At 44.4% G+C, this 24,365-nt stretch overlaps 1 annotated feature.

The window, feature by feature from the left end:
- Positions 23,773-24,067: an enhancer, noted in NCBI's record as "tiled region #9783; K562 Activating DNase unmatched - State 8:EnhW". NCBI's record gives its function as "activates a minimal TATA promoter and a strong SV40 promoter by Sharpr-MPRA in K562 cells {active_cell/tissue: K562}" and the evidence as "EXISTENCE:reporter gene assay evidence [ECO:0000049][PMID:27701403]".

Genomic DNA, 24,365 nt, shown 5'->3' with positions numbered 1-24,365 from the left:
CATGTTGGTATAGGGAAAAATCTAGTAGTGAAAGAGGTCCGAAATCTTTCTGCAAATGAGCTGCATGCTTGTCACATCCCGATTCTGGGGCTGGTGGCTGGCATTGCTCTAAGTAGCGGGCTGCTGAGGCCTTGCATACATATTCCTGTTGTCAGCATTAATAAGGTACAATTGCCTGGGGCCTTGTTACCCACCAGTTAAACTTTGGATTTTATTGTGCAACCTCAAGGATGCTTTATGGTATCAAAAGCATTTGGTAGTTAAATACGACTAATATTCATCGCTCCCACATGGGTGCTTCACATCCTGCTCCATTCACAGCGTGATTAAGGAATTAATTGATTTGGATGAGATTGGCACTTGCTCTTGACAATAAAATGACGGCTCCTTTATTAAGCCGTGGATGCAGTGGGCTTGCTGCTGCACTCGAGGCCACTTAGTGGTGGCTCAGCACTGGGCATTTGGGACCAGGCCCAGATCATAGTGATGCTTGGCTCCGGCCAGAGAAATCTGTAGATCCTCGAAGAGGCTTCAGAACCCAGATCTTCCTTCCAGCTTTCTTCCTTCCTTCCTTCCTTCTTATCTTCCATCTTCTCTCCCTTCCCCCTTCACTCTCTTTCCCTCCTTTGCATCCTTGCATCCATCCTTTCTCCATATTTCTTTCTTTCTCTTCTTCCTTTTTATTCATTTTAACTTAATTTAATTTAGTTAATTTATTTATTTGAGATAGAGTCTCTCTTTGTTGCCCAGGCTGGAGTGCAGTGGCACAATCTCGGCTCACTGCAACCTCCACCTCCTGGGTTCAAGCGATTCTCCTGCCTCAGCCTCCCGAGTAGCTGGGACTACAGGTGTGTGCCACCATGCCCAGCTAATTTTTTGTATTTTTAGTAGAGATGGGGTTTCACTGTGTCTGCCAGGATGTTCTTGATCTCCTGACCTCATGATCTGCCCACCTTGGCCTCCCAAAGTGCTGGAATTACAGGCGTGAGCCACTGCGCCCAGCCTCCTTTTTATTTTACTACTCTCTCTTCTTCCCTGACTTTTATTTTATTTTATTTTTTTTTTTTGAGACGGGGGCTTGCTCTGTCACCCAGTCTGGAGTGCAGTGGAGTGATCATAGCTCACTGCAACCTCTAATTTCTGAGCTCAAGTGCTCCTTCTGCCTCAGCCTCCCAAGTAGCTGGGAGTACAGGTGCATGCCATCATACCCAACTAATTATTTTATCTTGTAAGACAGGGTCTTGCTATGTTTCCCAGACTTCCCTGACATTTTATTTATTAAGACACCTATTCTCACCCTCTGCCCTAACTTCCCAGAGTAAGCTCTTGCTTTATAAGTCCATTCTATCCTCTGATCTTCTCTTTTGTTTGAGAGCATTTGGTTTCCCAGAACAGAGACCCACTCAAGCCAGCTCACACAAGAGGGGTATTAATAAGACAAATACGTGTAGTGGTCAAAAGACCATGATCTCCTAATGTGGTCAATAGACCACGATCTCCTCATTTTATTTTATTTTTTTGAGACAGGGTTTCACTCTTGTTGCCCAGGCTCCTCATTTTATTTCATTTTTTTGAGACAGAGTTTCACTCTTGTTGCCCAGGCTGGAGCGCAATGGCACAATCTCGGCTCACTGTGACCTCCATCTCCCGGGTTCAAGTGATTCTCCTGCCTTAGCCTCCCAATTAGCTGGGATTACAGGTGCCCACCATCACGGCTGGCCAATTTGTGTATTTTTAGTAGAGACAGGGTTTCGCCACATTTACCAGGCTGGTCTTAAACTCCTGACCTCAGGTGATCCACCCACCTCAGCCTCCCAAAGTGCTGAATTACAGGCTTGAGCCACTGTGCCCGGTGAATCTCCTAATTTTAAAACAGAGCCTACAACAGGGTCAGGCCTCATAGGTACACATCTCTGGATGGAATAAGAGTTCTGGATTCCAGGTACCTGCAGTTTACACCTAAATTGTTGCATACCATTGACTGAATGTTTCTTATCTACCAGGCACTGTGCTAGGTGCTCTATGTGCTTTACGTATGGCTGAATCTAATGAGCGAAGCAGGCTCAAAGAGGTTGGATGACTTGCTCTAGGGAACTCTGTAAGTAAAGGACAGAGTGGGAATTCACACTCGGGGAGACAGATCCCACCTGCTGTTCATCCATTTATAGTCTGTCAAGTGTGTTGACATGAACGTAGCTCATCTACACTCAGCCACGGCTAAGTGGAGTGTCCTTGGTGCCACCTCAACCTCATTACCTTCCAGATTTTTCCCAATGTTGGTTGGCCTATTCGAACCTCTCTTGCCTCTATGTGGGGTCATGTGACTAGTTGTCCCCAGTGGAATGTAAATAGAAGTGATGTGTGTGAATTCTAGACCAAGGTGGTTAAGGAGTGGATGGGTGTCTTTTTTTCTCTTCCCTTCTCACTTCTCTCTGGATACAGAAAGCGTTGTGAATGTGAAAGATGGAAGAAGTTTGAGTCCCTCTGTCACCATGCGTGGAGATAAGTTTCCCACCAACCATTATCACCTGTCCTGAACTATCACATGAGCAAAAAATATCTTCTATTTCTTTAAGCCACTACTATTTTGGATTGATTTGTTACAGCACCTAGAGTTACCTGAACACATATGATTTGCAGAAAAAGATAGGATCCTAGGACAGGGGTCTCAAGCCGTACCCCATTCACGACACAGGACCTCTTACAGATCAGATGAAAAGGACATTGGTGATTGTTGTATTGACCATGACACAATTCAGTTAGAGGTAGGCCTTCATGTCACGGCCTTTATACACACTGTCCTCATTCAAGAGTGACCTCAGATGAAGGTAGGAGGCATGGTAAGGACTGAGATGAGATTTCTCTCCTGTGAGAGATGAGTGAGAGATGTCTTATGGAAAATGAAGTGATGTTCATTTTCTTTCTGTGTTTGTGGACTGAGATCACTACCTATTGCACTAAATAAATAAATAAATAAACCAAACGTATCATTTCACTCATCTGCTTGAAACCAGTGGCCTCTTAGCTCCCTCCTAGTAAAGGCAGGGTCCTTACTGTGGAGTGTGTAATCGACTCCATGTGCCCCTCTGCCTTCACATCCCATTACTCTTCTCACTTACTCCACTCCAGTCCTCCCGGCCTCCTGGCTGTTACTTACACATGCTCAGTATTTATTAAAATCCCTGCCTCAGGGATTTTATTCTTCTTGTCCCTTTTGCTTGCAGTACTCTCCCTGGCCATTCTCATACATTCCCCTCACCTCCTTTAAGTCTCCCTAAATGTCACCTTCTGAAACAATCCCTTCCAACTCTGTTTAAAACTGTGTCTCCTACTCCACCCTACTCCTCACTCCACCTCACCTTCCAATAGGTTCTAAAATTATTTGTTTGTTTACTCAATGTCTCTTCACCAGATTGTGAATTTCATAAGGCAGAGATTTTTGATTTTCCTTAACTGCTGTACATCACGCCCTAAGAAACAGTGTTTGGAATATCATAGGCACTTAATAAATATGTGTTGTTTAATTACACTGTGTTCTATGTTGAGATGATAGTAGTTGGTATTGCTGTTGACAGAGTTAATGAATAAATAAATGAATTTATGGATGGATGGGTGGATAGGAGGCCCAGTTTCCCCATTAATCATCTCTTAATGAAATTTTGGGCTTCCCCAGATAACAGTCAGTAGACCAAAACAATTGAGTGGCATATTTTTTTTTTGCTTTTTAAAAATTAATAAACTGTTTAAAGAGAAGTTTTAGGCTCAGAGAAAAATTGAGTGGAAAATACAGAGGATTCTCATAAATCCATGTCTCCACACACACACAACCTCATCCATAATTGACATCTTTCTGCTTCTATCTTCTGGATGTCTTCTGGAAGAGATTGGAGTGAATGAGCTTATTTTCTTTCTTAAATGTTTGGCAGAATTCACCAGTGCATCCATCTCGTCTCAGTTCTTTCTGTTTTGGATGGTTAGTAATTATTAATTCAGTTTCTTTAATAGATATAAGCCTATTTAGATAGTCTGTTTCTTCTTGTGTAAGTTTTGGAAGATTGTGTTTTTCAAGGAATTGGTCCATTTTACTCAAGTTATCAAACTTGTGGGCATGAAGTTGTTAATAATATTCTATTGTTATTTTAATGTCTATGGGATCTGTACTGATAGTCCCTTTTTATTTCTGATGTTAGTAATTTGTGTCTTCTCTCTTTAGTTAGCCTGGCTAGAGGCTTATAGATTTTATTCATCTTTTCAAATAACCAGCTTTTTAATGGTTGATTTTTCTATTGATTTCCTGTTTTTAATTTCATTGATTTCTTCCCTAATTTTTTAAAAATTATATCTCTTCTGCTTATTTTGGATTACATTTGATATTCATTTTTCTAATTTCTTAAGTTGGAATGTTAGCTTATTGATCCTATATATTTCTTCTTTTCTAATATATGCATTCAATGCTATAAATTCCCGTCTAAGTGTTGCGTTTATTATGTCCTATGAATTTTGATAAGTTGTATTTTCATTTTCATTTAGTTTAAAATATTCTTAAACTTACCTTTGAGAGGTGACAGCCTGCTGGCAGCCCTCACAGCCCTCGCTCTCTCTCGGCCCCTCCTCTGCCTGGGCTCCCACTTTGGCAGCACTTGAGGAGACCTTCAGTTTGCTGCTGCACTGTGGGAGCCCCTCCCTGGGCTGGCCGAGGCGGGAGCCGGCTCCCTCAGCTTGCGGGGAGGTGTAGAGGGAGAGGTGCGGGCTGCAACCAGCGCTGCACGTGGTGCTTGCAGGCCAGCGCGAGTTCCGGGTGGGCGTGGGCTCGGCGGCCCCGCACTCGGAGTGGCCGGCCAGCCCCGCGGACCCCGGGCAGTGAGGGGCTTAGCACCTGGGCCAGCAGCTGCTGTGTTCAACTTCTCGCCAGGCCTTAGCTGCCTTCCTGCGGGCAGGGCTCGGGACCTGCAGCCCGCCATGCCTGAGCCTCCCCGCCTCCTCCGTGGACTCCTGTGCAGCCCAAGCCTCCCCGACGAGCGCCGCCCCCTGCTCCATGGCGCCCAGTCCCATCGACCACCCAAGGGCTGAGGAGTGCGGCACACGGTGCGGGACTGGCAGGCAGCTCCACCTGCGGCCCTGGTGCAGGATCCACTGGGTGAAGCCAGCTGGGCTCCTGAGTCTGGTGGGGACTTGGAGAACCTTTATGTCTAGCAAAGGGATTGTAAATACACCAATCGACACTCTGTATCTAGCTACTCTGGTGGGGACTTGGAGAACCTTTGTGTGGACACTCTGTATCTAGCTAATCTAGTGGGGACTGGAGAACCTTTGTGTCTAGCTCAGGGATTGTAAACGCACCAATCAGCGCCCTGTCAAAACAGACCACTCGGCTCTCTGTAAAATGAACCAATCAGCAGGATGTGGGTGGGGCCAGATAAGAGAATAAAAGCAGGCTATCCGCGCCAGCAGTGGCAACCCGCTGGGGTCCCCTTCTGCACTGTGGAAGCTTTGTTCTTTCCCTCTTTGCAATAAATCTTGCTGCTGCTCACTCTTTGGGTCCACGCTGCCTTTATGAGCTGTAACACACACCGTGAAGGTCTGCAGCTTCACTCCTGAAGCCAGCGAGACCACGAACCCACCAGGAGGAATGAACAACTCCAGACGCACGGCCTTAAGAGCTGTAACACTCACCACGAAGGTCTGCAGCTTCACTCCTGAGCCAGGGAGACCACGAACCCACCAGAAGGAAGAAACTCCGAACACATCCGAACATCAGAAGGAACAAACTCTGGACACGCCACCTTTAAGAACTGTAACACTCACCACGAGGGTCCGTGGCTTCATCCTTGAAGTCAGTGAGACCAAGAACCCACCAATTCCAGACACACCTTTGGATGTTTTATTTTACCTATGTGTTATTTAGAAGTGTGTTGCTTAATGTCCAAGTGTTTTGGGATTTTCCAGCTGTCTTTCTGTTATTAATTTCCAGTTGAGTTCCACTGTGGTCTGAGAGCAGACATCATATGATCTTTTTAAATTTTATAATTGTTAACGTATGTTTAACAGCCCAGAATGTCATGTCTCTTGGTGTTTCATGTGAGCTTGAGAATAATGTGTATTCTGCTGTTGTTGGATTAAGTAGTTTATAGGCATCTATTATATCCAGTTGATTGATGGTCCTATTGAGTTCAACTGTGTTTTTACTGATTTCTCTGCCTGCTGGAGCTGTCCATTTTTGATAGAAGGGTGTTAAGATCTCCAACTATAATAGTGGATTTATCTATTTTCTCTGAAGTTCTATCAGTTTTTGCATCACATATTTTGATGCTCTGTTGTTGGATGCATACATATTAAGGGTTGTTATTTCTTCCTGGAACATATTGACCCCTTTATATAATGCATCTCTTCATCTCTGGTATTTTCCTTGCTCTGAAATCTTCTGTCTTAAATTCGTATGGCTACTCCCACTTTCTTTTGATTAGTGTTAGCATAGTATATCTTTCTCCACCCCTTTACTTTTAATATATACTCATCTTTATATTTAAAGTGGGTTTCTTGTAGACAACATATATAGGGTCTTTTTTTTATCTATTCTGACAATTTCTGTATTCTAATTGGCATGTTTAGACCATTGATGTTTAATTACTGATATAGTTAGAGTAATGGCTACCATATTTGTTACTGTTTTCTGTTTGTTGTCCTTTCTCTTTGTTCCTATTTTTGTTTTCCACACTTTTTCTACCTTTTGTTGTTTTAACTGGGCATTTGATATGATTATATATTCTTTCCTTTCTTAGCATATCAGTTATGCTGCTGCTGCTATCTCCTCCTTCTCCTCTCCCTCCCCCTCCTTCTCCTCTCCCTCCCCCTCCTTCTTCTTCTCCTCCTCCTTCTCCCTCTCCTTCTCCTTCTTCCCTCCTCCTCCTCCCATTGCTCCTCTTCCTCCTCTTCCTCCCTCCTCTTCCTTCTTCTTCACCTTTTTTAGGGGTTGCTCTAGAGTTTGCAAATATACAGTTCTGTTACTGAAACACCAGGGGTTTGGTCTAGGTCCTGCTGCTCACTACACAGAAGGCCAGTGACTGAGATGACAAGTATTGCCAGGGAAGAAGGCTTTAACTGGGTGCTGGAGCCAAGGAGATGAAAGCTCAGTCTCAAATCCATCTCCCTGACTGACTAAAACTAGGGGTTTATATAGCAGGGAAGAAATGTAACAATGTGTAAGAAAACAAGAACTAGGGAGGGGTAAGGAGGCATCTGGTACTGGGCTTTAGTGAGTTTCAGTTCTTTGATACTTGTTTTGAGAGGCCTGAAGGTCCTTTCCTAGGAAGGAACTCAGATAAAACAAATAGAAGTTTCAAGTTTTAACAGCAGAGGGGTCAATGTCTGTGTTTACCTAAAAGAAGAGTCTATGGGAGTATTGAGCTGGTTTCATTACACCTAATCCAAGTCTACTTCCAAATAACACTTTATGGCTCACAGATAGGACACATACTTTATAATAACAAAATCATTCTAATCCTTCCTGTTTCTCATATCATTGCTGTTATTAATTTCACTTATACTTAAGCATAATTGTATACACACACAAGCATACATCATCAAATACATTGCTATGATTATTTTGAACAAACTGCTGTTAAATTAATTAAAATTTTAAAAAGAGGTTTTAATTTTACCTTTACTTATTGATTCTCTGATGCTCTCCCTTTCTTTATATAAATATGAGTTTCTTGCCTGTGTTATTTTACTTCTCTCTGAAGAACTTTTTTTTTAACATTTCTTGGAAGTCAGGTCTATTGGTAACAAATTCTCCCACTTTTTTGTCGGAGAAAGTCTTTATTTCTCCTTCACATTTGGAGGATAATTTTGCAGGGTACAGATTTCCAGGTTGGTGGGGTGTTTTTCCTCTCAACACTTTAAATGTTTCGCTCCACTCTCTTTTTACTTGCATGGTTTCTGAGGAGAGGTTGGCAATAATTCTTATCTTTGCTTCTCTGTAGTTAATTCTTATCTTTGCTTCTCTGCAGTAATTCTTTGTAGCAATTCTTATCTTTGCTTCTCTGTAGTAATTCTTATCTTTGCTTCTCTGTATTTTTCTCTCTGACTTGTTTCAAGATTTTCCTTTATCTTAAATTTTCTGAAGTTTGAAAATGATATACCCAGATGGAGTTTTCTTAGGGATTTATCCAGGCTGGTGTTCTCTGACCTTCCTGGATTTATGATTTAGTGTCTAACATTCATTTGGGGGGAAATTCTCAGTCATTATTCCTTCAAATATTGCTTCTGCTTCTTTTTTCCCTCTTCTTGTGGTATTCCCAATACGTGTATTTATATCTTTTGTAGTTGTCCCACGGTTTTTGGATATTCTGTTTTGGGTTTTTTTTTTCCTAGTCCCTTTTCTCTTTGCATTTCAGTTTTGGAAGTTTCTATTATCATATCCTCAAGCTCAGAGATTCTTTCCTCAGGCACATTCATTCTACTAATGAGTCCATCAAAGGCATTCTTCATTTCTGTTACATTGTTTACGGTCTCCAGTATTTTTTTACTCTTTCTTAGAATTTCCATCTCTCTGTTTACATTATCCATCTATTCTTGCATGTTGTCTATTTTTCCCACCAAAGCCCTTAGCATATTAATAATAGTTTTAAAAAATCCTGGTCTGATAATTCCAACATTCCTGTTACATCAGACTTTGGTTCTGATGCTTGTTCAGACTCCTCAAGCTGTGTTTTTACCTTTTAGTATGCCTTGTATTTTCTTGTTGAAATGTGGACATGATGTATTGAGTAAAAAGGCATAGCAGTAATAGGTCTTTAGTAAGTGGGGTGATAGGGTAGGGGGAAGAGAAAGCATTCTGTTGTCCTATGATTGTGTTTCAGTCTTTTAGTGACCCTAATGCCTCTGGACTGTAAACCTTACCAGTGCTTCTCAGCCTCCCCCACACCCGTTTGATGGGCCAGAATGGCTATATGGGGCTAGGGTTGGGTATTTCCCTTTTCACAGATCAGTTTAGGCTCTGATAAAACCCCAGAGGGTTACACTCTGGGAAAAAAAAGTTTCTTCTGCATGCAGGCTTTGTCAAAAACAGAATGCTCTGGTGTATTTCAGGATGGTTCATTTCTCCCTCCCTCTATTGGAAGCAAGAGGGGATTTTTCTCTAATATTCACTGTGAGAATCGGGTCAGGGTCCTAGAGGTAAAGCTCACCCAAGTGTGGGGTCTCCAATGACCAAATGCCTCCAGAATGTTCAGACTTGTCTAAACTAAGACTTAGACTTGTCTGCACTAAGCCTGCAGAAACTCATTCACTACAGTTCTGATTTTCCCACCCTGGCACTGGTTCCTATAAAGGTTTTTGCTCATGGGTTCCTACTCTAATAAGCTGTGATTTTCTGTATCTATCTGTATGTCTTTCCAGTTTTGGGGCAGCAGTTTGCCCTGTGTCCTTACTTCTCTGATGAATCTATGAAGTGCTGTTGATTTCTGTTTGTTCAGCTTCTAACATGCTGTTAGGATGGAGTGGTGAGTTCTAAGCCTCATGTTTGCTGAACTGAAAACCAGAAGTCCTTATTGTCTTTTAAAAAACAAAAAAAAAGACCTGAATTCGTGATCACTATTTAAAAAGTAACTTATTCCACTTTAAAAAGATCCTACAGACTTTTGACTTCTCTAGAACAACTGCACAGCACTACTGTTTCTTTCCACCTAGTTTGAGTTGAATAGCAGCTGCTTATGTTAGCAGATTTAAGCTCTCCAGTTCTCCATGATCTTTTCCCAGCATGGCTCATCCAGTTATTTTTCCTGTTTTAGGCCTGAGGTCATTTGAGTCTGTGAATCTTACTTTAGATTTTCGTATTCTTCCCTCTCTCTCCCCTCCCTGACCCTTCCTGGGCTTACTGTTTTGTATGTAGTCTCAGAGTTGACTCCTAGCCCCAAATCACATCATAACAGATGTAGGATACTCACTCCCTTTCTCTCTCTCTGGTCCATATCTGGTATCTTTGATTTCCCTTGCTAAGCTAAAAACAGATCAGACTCTGCTTGCCCGGGCTCATCTCAATTGCACTAAGTGACTGCATATCAGAAAGCTCTCACATCAGGGCGTTTCTAGGTTCCTGCCTCCTGCACTTCTTGCTGCCTCTCTCATGGTAGGGTCCTGGGGTGATGGGTGGAGCACCAATGGTACATTGAGTGCTCCTAAGACTGTAATCATCTATTGGCTCCCTGCCTTGCAAACCTTTAACCTGCACAGCTGCAGCCACTTAGCCCCCAGCAGCAGCTTCTGCCCTGCTGTGACGCAGGGTTCAATGCAGGCCATGCTTAGAGAATTATTAGGAGCTCTTGGCAAAGAGCTCTGGCCCCATGTGGATAATCCCGACAGGGCTGCATCCTAGCAGAGAATACTGGTTACTCTGAAATCAGTGCCTTCCCTAGGATGCACTTTTTTGGAACAATCTCTCATAGCATCTTGCTGGAGGGTGATGAAAACAAATGCAAACAGAAACAGAGAGTGATAAGTCAGAAGGATGGCTCATCTCTCCAGCTAGGGGAATGGAGTGTGAGATCACAGTGTGCCCAGACAAAAAAAGACTGAAGCCATCAGACAGCCTCTCCGCTCCTTTCCCATCACATCAGGCAGAGGTGGAAGCTGCTGGCTGAATAATGGTGACAAAACTGGGTGAGTCTGTGAGAGGGCTGCAGAGGGGATTGAATCATTGCCTGCTAGTGCCAGCATTTGAAAGTAAAAAGGACGTTCACTGGCCCCTATTTTCTCTACTCCATTTCACTCTTTTTTCTCAGGAATCTTTCCACACAAGTGGCAGACACCCTGGCCTATAATGGTAAGAGAATGACAAGGGAATTTCTTAAGTTCAGGATATGAGCTAGCTTCAGGTATGGCTGGATTCAGGTGCTCACACAATGTCACAGGACCTAGTTTCTCCCTCTCCTCCCTCTCACCTTTTTGGGATTGGATTTATTTTCGGTCTCTACCAGCAGGATGGCAACACTGCTTGATCCTTACATCCTTCTAAGTTAAAATCTTGAGACGGAGTCTTGCTCCTGGGTGACAGAGCGAGACTCTGTCTCAAAAAAAAAAAAAAAAAAGAATCACTGCAATACTAGGGTGATGCACTGGGTGTTAATCACAGAATGACAATATTTCAACATTATGGAATAGCTTTTGCTCTTTATCTTTCACTGCATTGTATGGGAAGCAATATCTTTTCTTCCCTTGATATTTAAACAATATTTCTAAATTAAATATGTAACAATTTTTTTAAAAAAGGAAGTATCTCTTCTTGTCACCTAACAAAAAGCTCAGATTATACTTTGATTAGATCAAATTAGGGCCTCTGTCAACCTCTGAGCTAATGTCTGTGGTTAGGGGGATTTGATTCGGCTAAATGGGCAGCTCTGGGCCATAAGCCTCTGCCCTTGAGTCATGGATAAGGTCCAAAGACAGAGGGGATGAATGTCTTCTAATGCTTTCCAAATGCCCACTCTTTATTCTTTGTGATATTTCACTCCATTTCTCTCCTCCCTGCAAAAAAAGGTTCTTCAAGGACATCAGTGGCTTCCTGCTTGTGAAATTCAGTGGATGATTTTGAGGTATTATCTCATTTATTTATTTATTTGAAACACAGTCTCACTCTGTGGCCCAGGCTAGAGTGCAGTGGTGTGATCTCAGCTCACTGCAGCCTCTGCCTCCTGGGTTCAAGTGATTCTCCTGCCTCAGTCTCCCAAGTAGCTGGGATTACAGGTACACACCACCATGCCTGGCTAATTTTTGTATTTTTAGTAGAGACGGGGTTTCACCATGATGGCCAGGCTGGTCTTGAACTCCTGACCTCAGGTGATCCACCCACCTTGACCTTTCAAAGTGCTGGGATTACAGGCATGAGCCACTCCACCCGGCCGGCCACATTATCTAAATTAAATTATCTGCAGAATTGGGCCCTGGTTATGTTTTGATATTCTTTCCACATTCCAAGATAGCAGTCTCTGTTTCCTTTCCTGCCTGTTTAACTGACTTTCTCTCTTTTGCCCACCCTTTAATTATGTGTTGTTATTTCCCCACATTTAGTCTATAGCTGTTGTATCAATTAGGAACATAGTTACCTGTGAATGGCAAATTGCTTGAGTAATAGTGGCTTAAACTGTAAAGATACTCATTTTCTTGAAATGACCTCTGGAGGGCTTAGGGTTGTCTAGTGATGTCATGAAAAACCTAGGCTCTTTCTACACATTTTTCTCATTCTTTAGCTCATTAGTCTTTTTTTTTTTTTTTTTCTGAAACAGGGTCTCGCTCTGTTGCCCAGGCTGGAGTGCAGTTGTACAGCCGTAACTTACTGCAGACTCCAACTCCTGCCCCAGCCTCCCAAGTAACTAGGAGCACAGGTGTGAGCCACCACACCCAGCTAATTATTTTATTTTATTTTATTTTATTTTTTTGAGATGGAGTCTTGCTCTGTCACCCAGGCTGGAGTGTAGTGGTGCGATCTTGGCTCACTGCAAGATCTGCCTCCCAGGTTCACGCCATTCTCCTGCCTCAGCCTCCCGAGTAGCTGGGACTACAGGTGCCCACCTGCACACCACGCCCGGCTAATTTTTTTTGTATTTTTTCGTAGAGACGGAGTTTCACCGTGTTAGCCAGGATGGTCTCGATCTCCTGACCTCATGATCCGCCTGCCTTGGCCTCCCACAGTGTTAGGATTACAGGCGTCAGCCGCTGCATCTAGCCTTTTTAGTCTTTCTTCCTTATGCTTATCAATCTCAGAGAGAAAATGCTGGAGCAGGAGGCATCCTATCGTGTTTAAGGCAGGGCCAGTGATAAGGAGCAACATTAGCATCTCTTTCCATGTATCTGCCTGTTTACTGAAAGAGCCTTTCAGTCTTTCCTAGGAAAATCCTTCCTTTCATGTTATTAGCTGGAACTTGGTCACGTGGCCATTACTACCTGCAAACAAGGCAGGGACGGGGCTCCCAGTCAGGGATGTCAGGGGCCCCACACACACTCTCTGCACAGTTCCATCCTCCAAAGCTTTGGTTGTCATCTTTGGCAACCAAATTTGGCGATTGATATTGCCAAATTTTATCTCAGACCTTCCCTTTGAAACCTATGGGGCCAGTGGAAGCCAGGCCTTTCTACATGGGTGTGCCTTGGGCACTACACACTCAGCGTGCTCAAAACAAAACTTCATATTCCCCTGCCCTCAGGTGCTCTCCCACCTGCTTCCCACCTTAGAGAATGGAATACATTTCAGTCGCTTGCAAAAATAGAAACCTGGGTACCATCTCGGAGTCTTCCATCTTCCTCATCCCACTCTTGCTGTGAGAAATGGAATCCTTCTTGCAATTGTTCACACTCTCCAGTATTAAGCTATATATCCATGCTTTTTGCCATATGAGTCTGTGGTTCCTCCCAGTGTAGGTGGAGAGCATTTTCCAATCCCATCAATTTGGGGCTTGGACTAGTGGCTTGCTTTGGCCAATGGAATGGGGGCGGGAGACTCATAGAGTCCCCATGCTGAGTCAAGGGTTGAAGGGCTTTGCGTGTTCTTGATCATCCTCTGGACCTTAGGTGATCCACCATGAGCAATGGATATTCAGGGGTCATGGTCCCTTCAGTCTGGGTCCAGAACAAACACATATGGAGCTGACATGAGCCAGCCTGGAGCCTGGAGCTAACACAGTCAACCTGCATCTCAAGGCAGAGCTGTCAGCAATGCGCAGCTTAGATCAGCTGAAATGCAGTCAATCTGCAGACCTGTGAGCACGGAAACAGTGCTTCTTTCTGTAGGCCACTGAGTTTGAGATTTGTTATGAGGCGTTATTGGGGCAATAGTTCACTAATGCACATGCTATGATCCAAACCCAGAAGCATCCTTTATGTTCACGTTTTACCTGACTTCTCCCTTCTCCCATCAGTCTATTTTATTTTAAGATCTAAACAAAATACCATCTCTTCTATGAAGCCTTCCCTGCCCAGGTATGCTTTCTGTCTGTCAGGAAAGATAGACAATGAGTGATTAATGACATACGTGGTGAGTGAGAAAATATGTTTTGTGTTACACGGATTGAGTGTACAGCGAGGGACTCGTACCTGCATTTGGGAGGGGTGGATAGTGAAGGGCTTCCTGAGAAACTGGTATTTAAGCAGAGAAGGAGAATTTGGCCCGATGAAATATGGAGGCAGAAATACTCCAGGAAGAAGGAATAGTTTGCATGAGGATACTTAAGGCAGTGTGGCTGGGGCTCAGAGAGTGAATGGGGATGTGAGAGATGAGGCCACCACCACCATGCAGGTTCTGATCAGACAGGGCTCAGAGATCCAGCCTTTGTTCTAAGGGCAATGGGAAGGTTTTAAGCAAGTGGTGACATGATGGAGCCCGGGCTGCAAAAGGCAGAGCAAGTCCTTCCTTGAGACCTTACTGTGGTTTTGGATCTATTATTGCACTAATCTCTCTGCATTGCAGTTACCTGTTTAAACACGGTCTTTCTTTCTAGACTGTGAGCTTTTCTAAGCAGGCAGTGGTTGCCAGCCACATCTGAAACGTGGAGCTTAGGCACAGTGGAAGGAAAACACAAAAGGGTGGACTTGATATTCATGAAACACACGCTTTGCACCAGCCACTGGGTTGAGTGCTTTACCTGTGTTGGGAGGCAAGGGGGCAGAGCTTTGGGGAATACAGAGGAAGGGAAGGATGAGGGGAGGAAAAAGGCCCATGACTCATTCTCAGATTAACCCTAAGAGCGTGATGCAGCCCACAGACTGGAGGGTTCGGATTAAATTTGAGCAAGCCCTGCTCCGTGGAGAATGAGAAATCTTAGAAGCTTAAGTGCACTTTCAAGGCTGGAGGAGAATTTTCTCCTCTGGAGCTGTGAAAGAATGAGCTTGCTTCTCTTGGGGACAGAGTGGTTTGAGTATAATTGTGCTGAGAGGCACGGGGTCAGGCTGGTGGCCTCATGGAGTCCTTTCCCATCCCTTCCTGTGTGTGATTCAGATTCCCTGAAAATGATTTTTCCACAAGCCCTACGGAGAATCACTGGATTATTTTGGGAAGGGAAGCTCGCCAAGTTCAAGGTGAAGGATGAACATCTGCAGCCACAGGTAAACTGGGGGGAGATTATCCCTATTTGCAAAATGGAGCTAAACGCGACTCCTTTGTAGGGTTGCTTGAGGAAGCCAAATGTATTTTGAAGCCAAATATATTACACAGTGTTTCTGTGCAATTAAGGATGGAGGTCGTTTATATGTTTTATTTATTTATTTATTTATTTACTTATTTATTTTTATTTTTTGAGACAGAGTCTCGCTCTGTTGCCCAGGCTGGAGTGCAGTGGCGTGATCTCGGCTCACTGCAACCTCCACCTCCTAGGTTCAAGCGATTCTCCTGCCTCAGCTTCCAGAGTAGCTGAGATTATAGGCACACGCTGCCACGCCTGGGTAATTTTTGTATTTTTAGTAGAGACGGGGTTTTAGTATGTTGGCTATGCTGGTCTGGAACTCCTGGCCTCAAGTGGTCGGCCCTCCTTGATCTCCCAAAGTGCTGGGATTACAGGCATGAGCCACCACGCCCGGCCCGTTTATATGTTTTAGTGACTTCTCTTGGGAATGAGAGGCAGATCCGTACATACCCTTCGACTTCTTGACAGTTTCTTTCTTATATTTCTGCTCTTAGTGGAGGAGAGACAGAAAGAGAGAGACAGAGAGAGAGAAAGAGGGAGTTATAGAGAAAGGAGGAGAGAGAGAAAGGGAGAGAGCTATCAAGTACACTCAGGGATAATTTTAATTTTTCTCTTTTCCAGAGGGAGAGAGGGAGAGAGGGAATGGAACATCTTTTTTTTTTCTTACCTCTATGCTGCTGCACTATAATGCAGACTTTCAGAGATATTCATGTTGTGATTTATTCAATTCTTTTTCTCCATTGATTTTAATTAAGTTCCTGAGCTGTCTCCAAGCCCGGGGAACGGGAACAAAACATGAAACACTGAGAACCAAATGCTTTTCTTTTGCAATTGAGTTTTCCCGAGTTCTGAAAGTGCTTCACGGGAGGAGAATGAAAATAGAATTCAGAGGCTAAAGCATTTCCTCTGCTCCATCAGTCCCCAAATAATAAACATAAAAATTAAAATCCGGTTAAGAAAAATCACAGAAGTCATTACAGCTTGGTGGCTGATGGAGACTTTGATCAAATCTTTTATGCAGTTTCACAGTTTCTGGGGGAATTCACTGAGCAGGCATTGATCATGTTCATGCCAGGCAGATTGTTTTATCCCAGCAGAACCTGCCCCCTCCCAAACCAATTTCATCGTTTGATTTAAGTTCATGTCACGCTTTTTAAAGGAAATGCCGTGGTGATTTCTGGACCTGTTGTCTGGACTCCCATCAGACCCAACCCGCACCCTACCCCCGGCAGGCCCTCCCCAGGATCTGGAAGGCCAACGAGGTCCCTAAGCCAGTCTCTGACCCTTGGGTTGAAAGAAGGTTACTCTGCAGTGTTGAACAGCCAGATGGTCGGCCACCAGCTGGTATAGCCCCTTGTAGAAGTGGTAGAGTTAAACGCAAATGCCTGTGGGCTAGCCTATGACCCAACCAGAGAAATGGCCCAGGTAGGAACTTTGGCGAAATGGTGAATACAAGTCAGGTCTAAGGTGGACGGCCCTGGACCATAGTTATCATGTGGGGATTGTGGCCTTGGCAGGGCCAGATGTTGTGAATTTCCAAGGAAAGCCAGAAACTGGCATGCTTTTTCAGTAATATGAAAAAAGCACATATTTTTAAATTTTTATTTTAATAGTTTTTTGGATGTGGGTGGTTTTTGATTACATGAATAAGTTCTTTAAGTGAAAATTTCTGAGATTTTAGTGCACCCATCACCCGAACAGTGTACACTGTATCTAACATGTAGTCTTTTATGCCTCATCTCCCTCTCAGAATTCTCTCTCCGAAATCCCCAAAGTCCATTAGATCATTCTATGCCTTTGTATCTTTGTTGCTTAACTCCCACTTATATGTGGGAACATACAATATTTGGTTTTCCATTTCTGAGTTACTTCACTTAGAAGAATGGCCTCCAGCTCTATCCAAGTTGCTGCAAAAGACATTATTTTCTTCCTTTTTATGGCCGAGTAGTATTCCATGGTGTATTTATACCACATTCTCTTTATCCACTTGTTGGTTGATGAGCACTTAAGTTGGTTCCATATCTTTGCGAATTGTGTTGCTATAAACATGCGTGTGAAAGTGTCTTTTTCACATAATGAATTCATTTCCTTTTGGTAGATACCCAGGAATGAGGTTGCAGGATCGAATAGTGGTTCTCTTTTTAGTTCTTTAAGGCATCTCCATACTGTTTTCTGTAGTGGTTGAACTGGTTTACACGCCTACCAACAGTGTAAAGGTGTTCTCTTTTCACCACATCCATGCCAACATCTATTGTTTTTTTGATGTTTTAATTATGGCCATTCTTGCAGGAGTAAGGTGGTATCTCATTGTGGTTTTAATTTACATTCCGCTAATAATTAGCGATGAAGAACCCCAATATTTAAGTGTTGGCAACCATTCAAAAAGTCAATGCACTCTGTGGGTCAAAAAAAAATACACATGAGAGCTGGAATTTAGCACTGGACAGTTGCTTTGCAAGACAGTTGAAGAGTACAAAACCCGAATTAATGTCCAGGCAGCACCACCTACTAGCTGTGTGACCTTCTCTGAGTCTCCATTTGTAGCATACAATTATGTATCATGGGATACACACAATGTAAGATCCTGGTGCCTATTATGTAACCAACAAGTGCTATATCCATTCATTTTATTGTCGTCATCATCATCATCGTCATCACTAAAACCCAGTTTTCCCATTTACCATTGGTTGTGTATCTTCTTCTGGTTTTTTTTTGGACAGGGTTTCACTTTGTTCCCCAGGTTGCACTGGTGTGATCATGGCTCATTGCAACCTCGACTTGCTGGGCTTGAGCAATCCTCCCACCTCAGCCTCACAAGAAGCTGGACTACAGGCACAAACCACCACACCCAGCTATTTTTTTTTTGTATTTTTTGAAGAGACAGGGTTTCACCATGTTGCCCAGGCTGGTCTCGAACTCCTGGTCTCAAGAGATCTCCTACTTTGGCCTCCCAAAGTGCTGGGATTATAGGTGTGATCCAATGCACCTGGCTGGTTGTATCATCTTGTTGCTCCATCCTTCATTTTAGAGGGAGATGAAGCTGCTCTGCTCACCATCCTTACTTTAATTAAGACATTTGTCACTAACTCATATGGAAGGGAATTTGGCAACCTGAGTTAAACATTTCCAAAGGGAAATAAAACAGGCCCACTGCCCAGGAGCTTCTCTGGGCTCCCTGTAATTGTGCACAGCCTAGGTGGTTTGCTTGCTTATGGATTCTGAGAAAACACATGAAACTATCTCCCAAGAAAGTTTAATGACCTTAACTCATTTAGTGTATAAAATATTTCAGCAACTTGTGGAATACAAGTGGCACAATGGAAGCCGCTGCAAAGCAAATAGAGGGGTCCAGTGGACTCTAGAAAAGGGTCTGACTGTCCTTACAGCTACTGTGCTGAAGTGGACTTACTCTCCAGTCCAGAACCTGCAGCCTCAGGGTCACCCTGCTGAGTGATCTTGCTTTCCCCAGACCCTGGATCTGGAAAGTAGACAGCCCAGGTGCTGGCAGAGGAAAATTAGGGAAAGGGAGCTGGAGAGGGGAGGAACTCAATGGGACCTGCTAGGAAGAGCCCAGGCAGGGCAGAGCGCATGAAGACTTGCTCCAGAAATCACTCCTTGGGCCATTTTTATTTTAGTTATTATTTCTCTCATATCCAAAGGAAAATAAAAGACTGTAACAGAGGAATCAAAGGAGATGTGGCACAGGTGTCGAAATGTCCCTGAGTTCTTCCAATCCCTTCTCTGTGGCCTCTCACTTCTCCTCTGAGATGCTCCTGGATGGAGCCCATCCCAGATGCTTTCTTTGCTGAGTGCAACCTTCTCCTAACCTGCTTCCAGAGAAGCTTCTTGTATTGGAATTCCTCTCCTTCCTTTTTCCCAGACACAGCTAACCATGCACGTAAGGGAATGATGAGGCGATACATAGAAAGAACCCAGATCCTTGCAGGAATTTATGGAGCCGGTTCTGCCCACTAATCTGGATTGTTCACACTGGGGCTATCACAAGAATGCAACATTTCTGTCTTCTTGAGCCTTCTTCGGGGCCTTCTTGATATAGCAGTTTAGCCTTTCCCCTAAGGCAGTGGATCTCAAAGTCTAGTCTCTGACCAGCAGCATCAGCATTACTCAGGAATGTGTTAGAAATGAAAATTCTACTGCATTAGATCTACTGAAACTCTCGGGGTGGTGCTTAGCAATCTGTGTTGGTTTTGAGATACATATTTTTTGAAACAGAGTCTTGCTCTGTTGCCTTTGTTGGAGTGCAGTGGCACAATCACAGCTCACTGCAGCCTCCACCTCCTGGCCCCAAGCAATCCTGCCTCAGTCTCCCGAGTAGCTGGGACTGCAGGGGTGGGCCATCATGCCCAGCTAATATTTTTTCTTTTGTAGAGACAAAGTCTTGCTATGTTTCGTTTCCCAGACTGGTCTCAAACTCTTGGCTTCAAGTGTTCCTCCTGCCTCAGCCTCCCAAATAGCTGGGATTACAGGCATGAGCCATCATGCCTAGCTGTTTTGAGATAACTCTAAATTCATGTACAGTTGTAATTAATAACACAGAGCCTTCCCACTTTTCCCCAATGGTAATATTTTCCAAAACTACAGAATAATATCACAGCAAGGACATTGACACTCATTCGATTTACTGATCTTACTGAGATTTTCTTGGTTTTGTATTCATTTGTGTGTGTGCCTGCATTTGTGTGTACTGTATAGTAAGTGCTGTACAGTTTTATCACATGTAGGCTTGTGTGCCCACTACTACAGCCAAGATACTGAAAAGATCCAACAACAAAAATCTCCTGTTGTCACCCTCTCATAGCCACCCCCACCTCCCTCTCAGACCAATGTCCAGTTTAACATGATTTCCAGTTCATTTTGACGTGCTGGAGTTTGCAATATAGGGATACCTTGCTCTGTTGAAAAAATTGTTGCTACGAAGGTTGTGTATCTTCATTAATGCAAAGCATTGTGCCAGACACTGAGTGAAAACACTTTTTACTTGCATCATCTAATTTGATCTTCAGGAGAGCCCTGGGAGGTAGACAGCATTATTATCTTTTATTGCAGTAGTAACTGAGCACCCATTGCAGGGCAGGGGATGTAACAATGGCTAACATGACAGAAATAATAGTTTTATAATTAATAACAGGTGAAGTATAAGAAGAAGTATATAAATAATATTTTTTATTAATTAAAATTATTAAGTATAATAAATAATACTTATTTTACTTTTATTTTTATTTTTTTTTCTGAGACAGCATCTTGCTCTGTCCCCCAGGCTGGAGTATAGTGGCATGATCATGGCTCACGGCAGTCTCGACTTCTCTGGCTCAAGTGATCCTCTTGCCTCAGTCTCCTGAGTAACTGGGACTACAGGTGTGTGCCAGGATGCCTGGCTAATTAAAAAGTTTTTTTTTTTTTTTTGTAGAGACAGGGTCTTGCTATTTTGTCCAGGTTGGTCTTGAACTCCTGGGCTCAAGCAATCCTCCTGCCTGCCTCCCAATGTGCTGGAAATACAGGCATGAGCCACCACGCCCAGTCCCTAATCTGAATCCAGGAATCAGACTTTTACCCAGTAGTCTACACTGAATTTCTGGCGCCAGTGCAGAAGCATACATAGGAACTGCCACCTCCATGGGCAGCTTGCATAGCTGAGGCCTGCCTGGCTCCAGGGCCTCTCTGCCTACAGGAATGCCACCCTTTGAGCATTTCTTCACTGTTCCTAATCAAATTTCAATCCCATGAAAGTGCGATACTTTGGTACTCCTGGTTAATGGTCAGGCATATACCAGAGACCCGAAAAAGACTTAAATGATGGCATTTTGGAGCCTAAATACCATTTTAGAAATTCTTCCAGCTGAGCATCTCCTTTTACAGATGGGGAAAGGAGGTCAGAGAGGGGCAGGTTTGCCATCCCAGGGAGGGGCACTGGCATAGGCTGGCTCAGTGGGCTGGAGTTCAGAGGTGTGGCCTCAGGCTTGGTGGCAAGGGGCAGTGAGTGAGTGTGGGACCCTCCTTGGGGATCTGGTTTTCAGTGAGAGGACTCAGGCATCTGGAGGTTCACTGGCCAGCCCTGGGTCCTGGCCTCTGTAGTTAGAATGTCCTCGCTCAACTCTAGGCTCCAACCTGAGTTATTGCAATATTCCCAGACATGGACCTGTCAAACCTTGGGTAGCTTGAGCCTTTGAGGAGACCTCCCAAATTTAACTTTAAGTCTGTGTGTCAGGGCTGGGAAATCCAGCAGCTTTTCATTATGCTCTGTTAGGAAGAGGCTGAGGACTGTCATGAGGACAGGAAGGGTACAGTCTGTCACCAGATGGAAAAGACTTCCCACGTCTTACACATATTTTTCACCAGTTGAGTGTTTTCTGTGGACCTGGCATTGAGCTGAGCAGTTGATACACCTCAGTTACTCCCATGTGGTCATGACAATGACCATCCAGCGTAGAAGCACTTATCACTCCCAATTTACATTTTGAGGCGATGAAAGGAGAGGCCAGGGTACTTGAGCCAAACCCCTAGTTTGTTGGGTTGAACTCCACGTCCTACCCACTGTGCCCGATACCCCAAAGGAGCTAGCAAAAAGCAGAAGAATATGCTTTGATTCATTTTAGGAGTCAAATCGTTGAGTCCCCTGGGTGGAGTCATTTCCTGAAAATCAACCTCGCTTTGCACATTTGACAGGTACTTGGAATTTACTGGGGACAGAATTGTCTTGTTTTCCCTGTCCTTGCCCTTCATCTAAAGGGACATTCTTTTCAAAGGTCCCATTGTGCCGTGACAGCCACTGAACAGATGAGGTGACTGCAGCCCAGAGAGGGCAGATGCTGTGCCTGAGCTCACACAGCCAGGGAATGAACTTAGGTCAGCAAAACCCTGGAGCCCAGCTCTCTCCCCGCTACTACGCTGCTCCTCGCCTTATTAGAAACATAAGGTAATTAAGTGCACTGGGCTTCCCATAATTCAGAATACACTTGACACCACAATCTACCAAAGACACCCTCCATAATGTGGGAAATGACAGACAAGCTGCCCTCGTGATAAGTGTGAGATCTTATCGGTCTGATCCATCATCCCCATTATGTGCGCCATATCTCTATTATCTCCCCCATAAGACATATTTACAGCCGTATTAAAAGGGAGATGAAGGGATATATTATCTTCCTTATGTACCACATATATTACACGCCCATGCCCCGTCACAACCCAGACGCTTCCAGACAAGGCAGGCTGCAGCAGGCTGATAGGAGGAAAGCCATTCTTTCAGGTTAAAAGGGGGAAGGCACTATAACCTGCTCATCTGCACAGCACTCAGCAGTTTATAAAGGACTTCATTGTTTGTTCATCTGAGCCTTAGCGCACTCCCTGTGATGGGAAGGGGATCATGATAATGATTGCCACTCCCATTTCACAGATGGGAAAACTGAGGCTCTGAGGAGACAATAATTTGCCTTTGGTGACCCCTCTAGGAGGAGTGGAAGCAGAACTTGAACCTAGATCTTCTGATTTCATATCTCCTGAGGTCCTTATATTACAGAACCTTTTGGTGTGCATTCATTTATTCATGCTTTTGTTCACTTAAAATACACTTAACGAACAGCTGCCTGAGACCAGGCACTGTGCTAGGGGCTGGGAAGAGTTGTTGGAGAAGATGATCGATGTTCCTTGCTGTTCTAGAGTCCAGAGCAGGGGTCTGTACCAGGACACCAGGTCAAGTCTGGAGACATTTATGGTTGTCACAACGACGGAGGTGCTACTGGCATCCAATGACGAGATTGTCCTGCAATGTACAGGACAGCTCTTGCAACAGAGTTGCCCATCCCAAATGCCCGTGAAGTTAGGAAAACCCTGGCCTAGAGTGTATGGAAGAAGACAAAAGTAATCAAATGATCACACCAACAAGGATAAGGTTACAAACAGAGATAAGTTAGAAATGTATCCACAGCAACAGTGAATGCTTGTATAGTACTCCTGTGCTAGGCTGTGCCCCAAGAGGGGTCTATTACTCTCTTAACTCAGCTAGTCCCTAAAACAGCCCTGCAGGGTTGATTTTATGGTTGTCTCCATTTATAGAGGTGGGAACTGAAGCTCAGAGAGGTTAAGAAACTTGCTTGGATTGGGCAATAGAGCGACACTCTGTCTCAAACAAAACAAAACAAAACAAAACAACCTTGCCCACAGTCACACAGCCATTCTATTAAGGGGTTGGGCTGGGATTTGAACCGACACCAGCTTTTATGCTTATGGCCACTACACTGTGTTGCCTCCTTGCAAGACAAAGGAACTGGCTGTGCTTTGTGGGTTGAGGGAAGCTTTATAGGGGAAAGGACAGGAGGTTTAAGGAGCCCCAGGTCATAGGCTGGGGTAAGAAGAGTGATCCAGTCAGAGGGAACAGCATGTGCAAAAGTCACATGGCCAGAGGCTGTGGGGCACAGTGGAGAAACCCATTGAAAGTGAACGTGATGGGGGAGCAGAGATCTGGGGGAAACAGAAACCAGAGGTTTCGTGGCCACGTGCTGGGTTTGTAGGGATGGTGGATTCCGAGCGGAGCAGCACACAGCCTGGCTTGGAGTTTGAAAGCCCCACGCTGACTGCTGAGTGGTGTGATGGCTGAGAGGGGGCCAGAGTAGAGGAGGAACCAGGTAGGAGCCAATTGCCGTGTGGAGAGACCAGGCTGGATTCGTGGAAATGCAGAGACGTGAACAGATCTGAGAACTATTTCGGAGGTGAAACTGTCAGGATGCGGTAATGGACTGGGCGTTGTGGCAGAGTGATGAGTAACGCATTGCTCACCACTGGATGCCTGACCTTCTCTGAAATTAACCCAAAGGTTGTGTGTGGACCTCCCTGGAGATGGCTGGGAAGGGCTGCTGGCCATGCCCACCCCTCCTTGAACCTGAAAGGCCCATGTCACTGCTCAAGGTCCCAGCCGCAAGCCACAGGAGCAATAATGACGCTGCTTTGCTTTGCTGACAGCCCTCTGTTTGTGCTCCTAGATGCCTCTAACTCACAGATAATTAATGTCAGCCGGCTGTCATCGCACCCCGGCTAATCACAGTGTGCGGGGGTAGGCACACGGGTCGATGATGTGCAGCCTGGGGATCTGTCAGACCCCAGAAAGGGCGCATCACCTGCCAAGTTGCCAGAGAGTGCCGTGAATTTGAGCACATGCCTGTCTGCTCTGGAGGCACTGAC

This window comes from Homo sapiens, chromosome 16 (genome assembly GCF_000001405.40).
Source record: "Homo sapiens chromosome 16, GRCh38.p14 Primary Assembly".
Lineage (NCBI taxonomy): Eukaryota > Metazoa > Chordata > Mammalia > Primates > Hominidae > Homo > Homo sapiens.
Note: the sequence above shows the minus strand (reverse complement) of the source record. Positions and strands in the feature narration are given on the sequence as shown.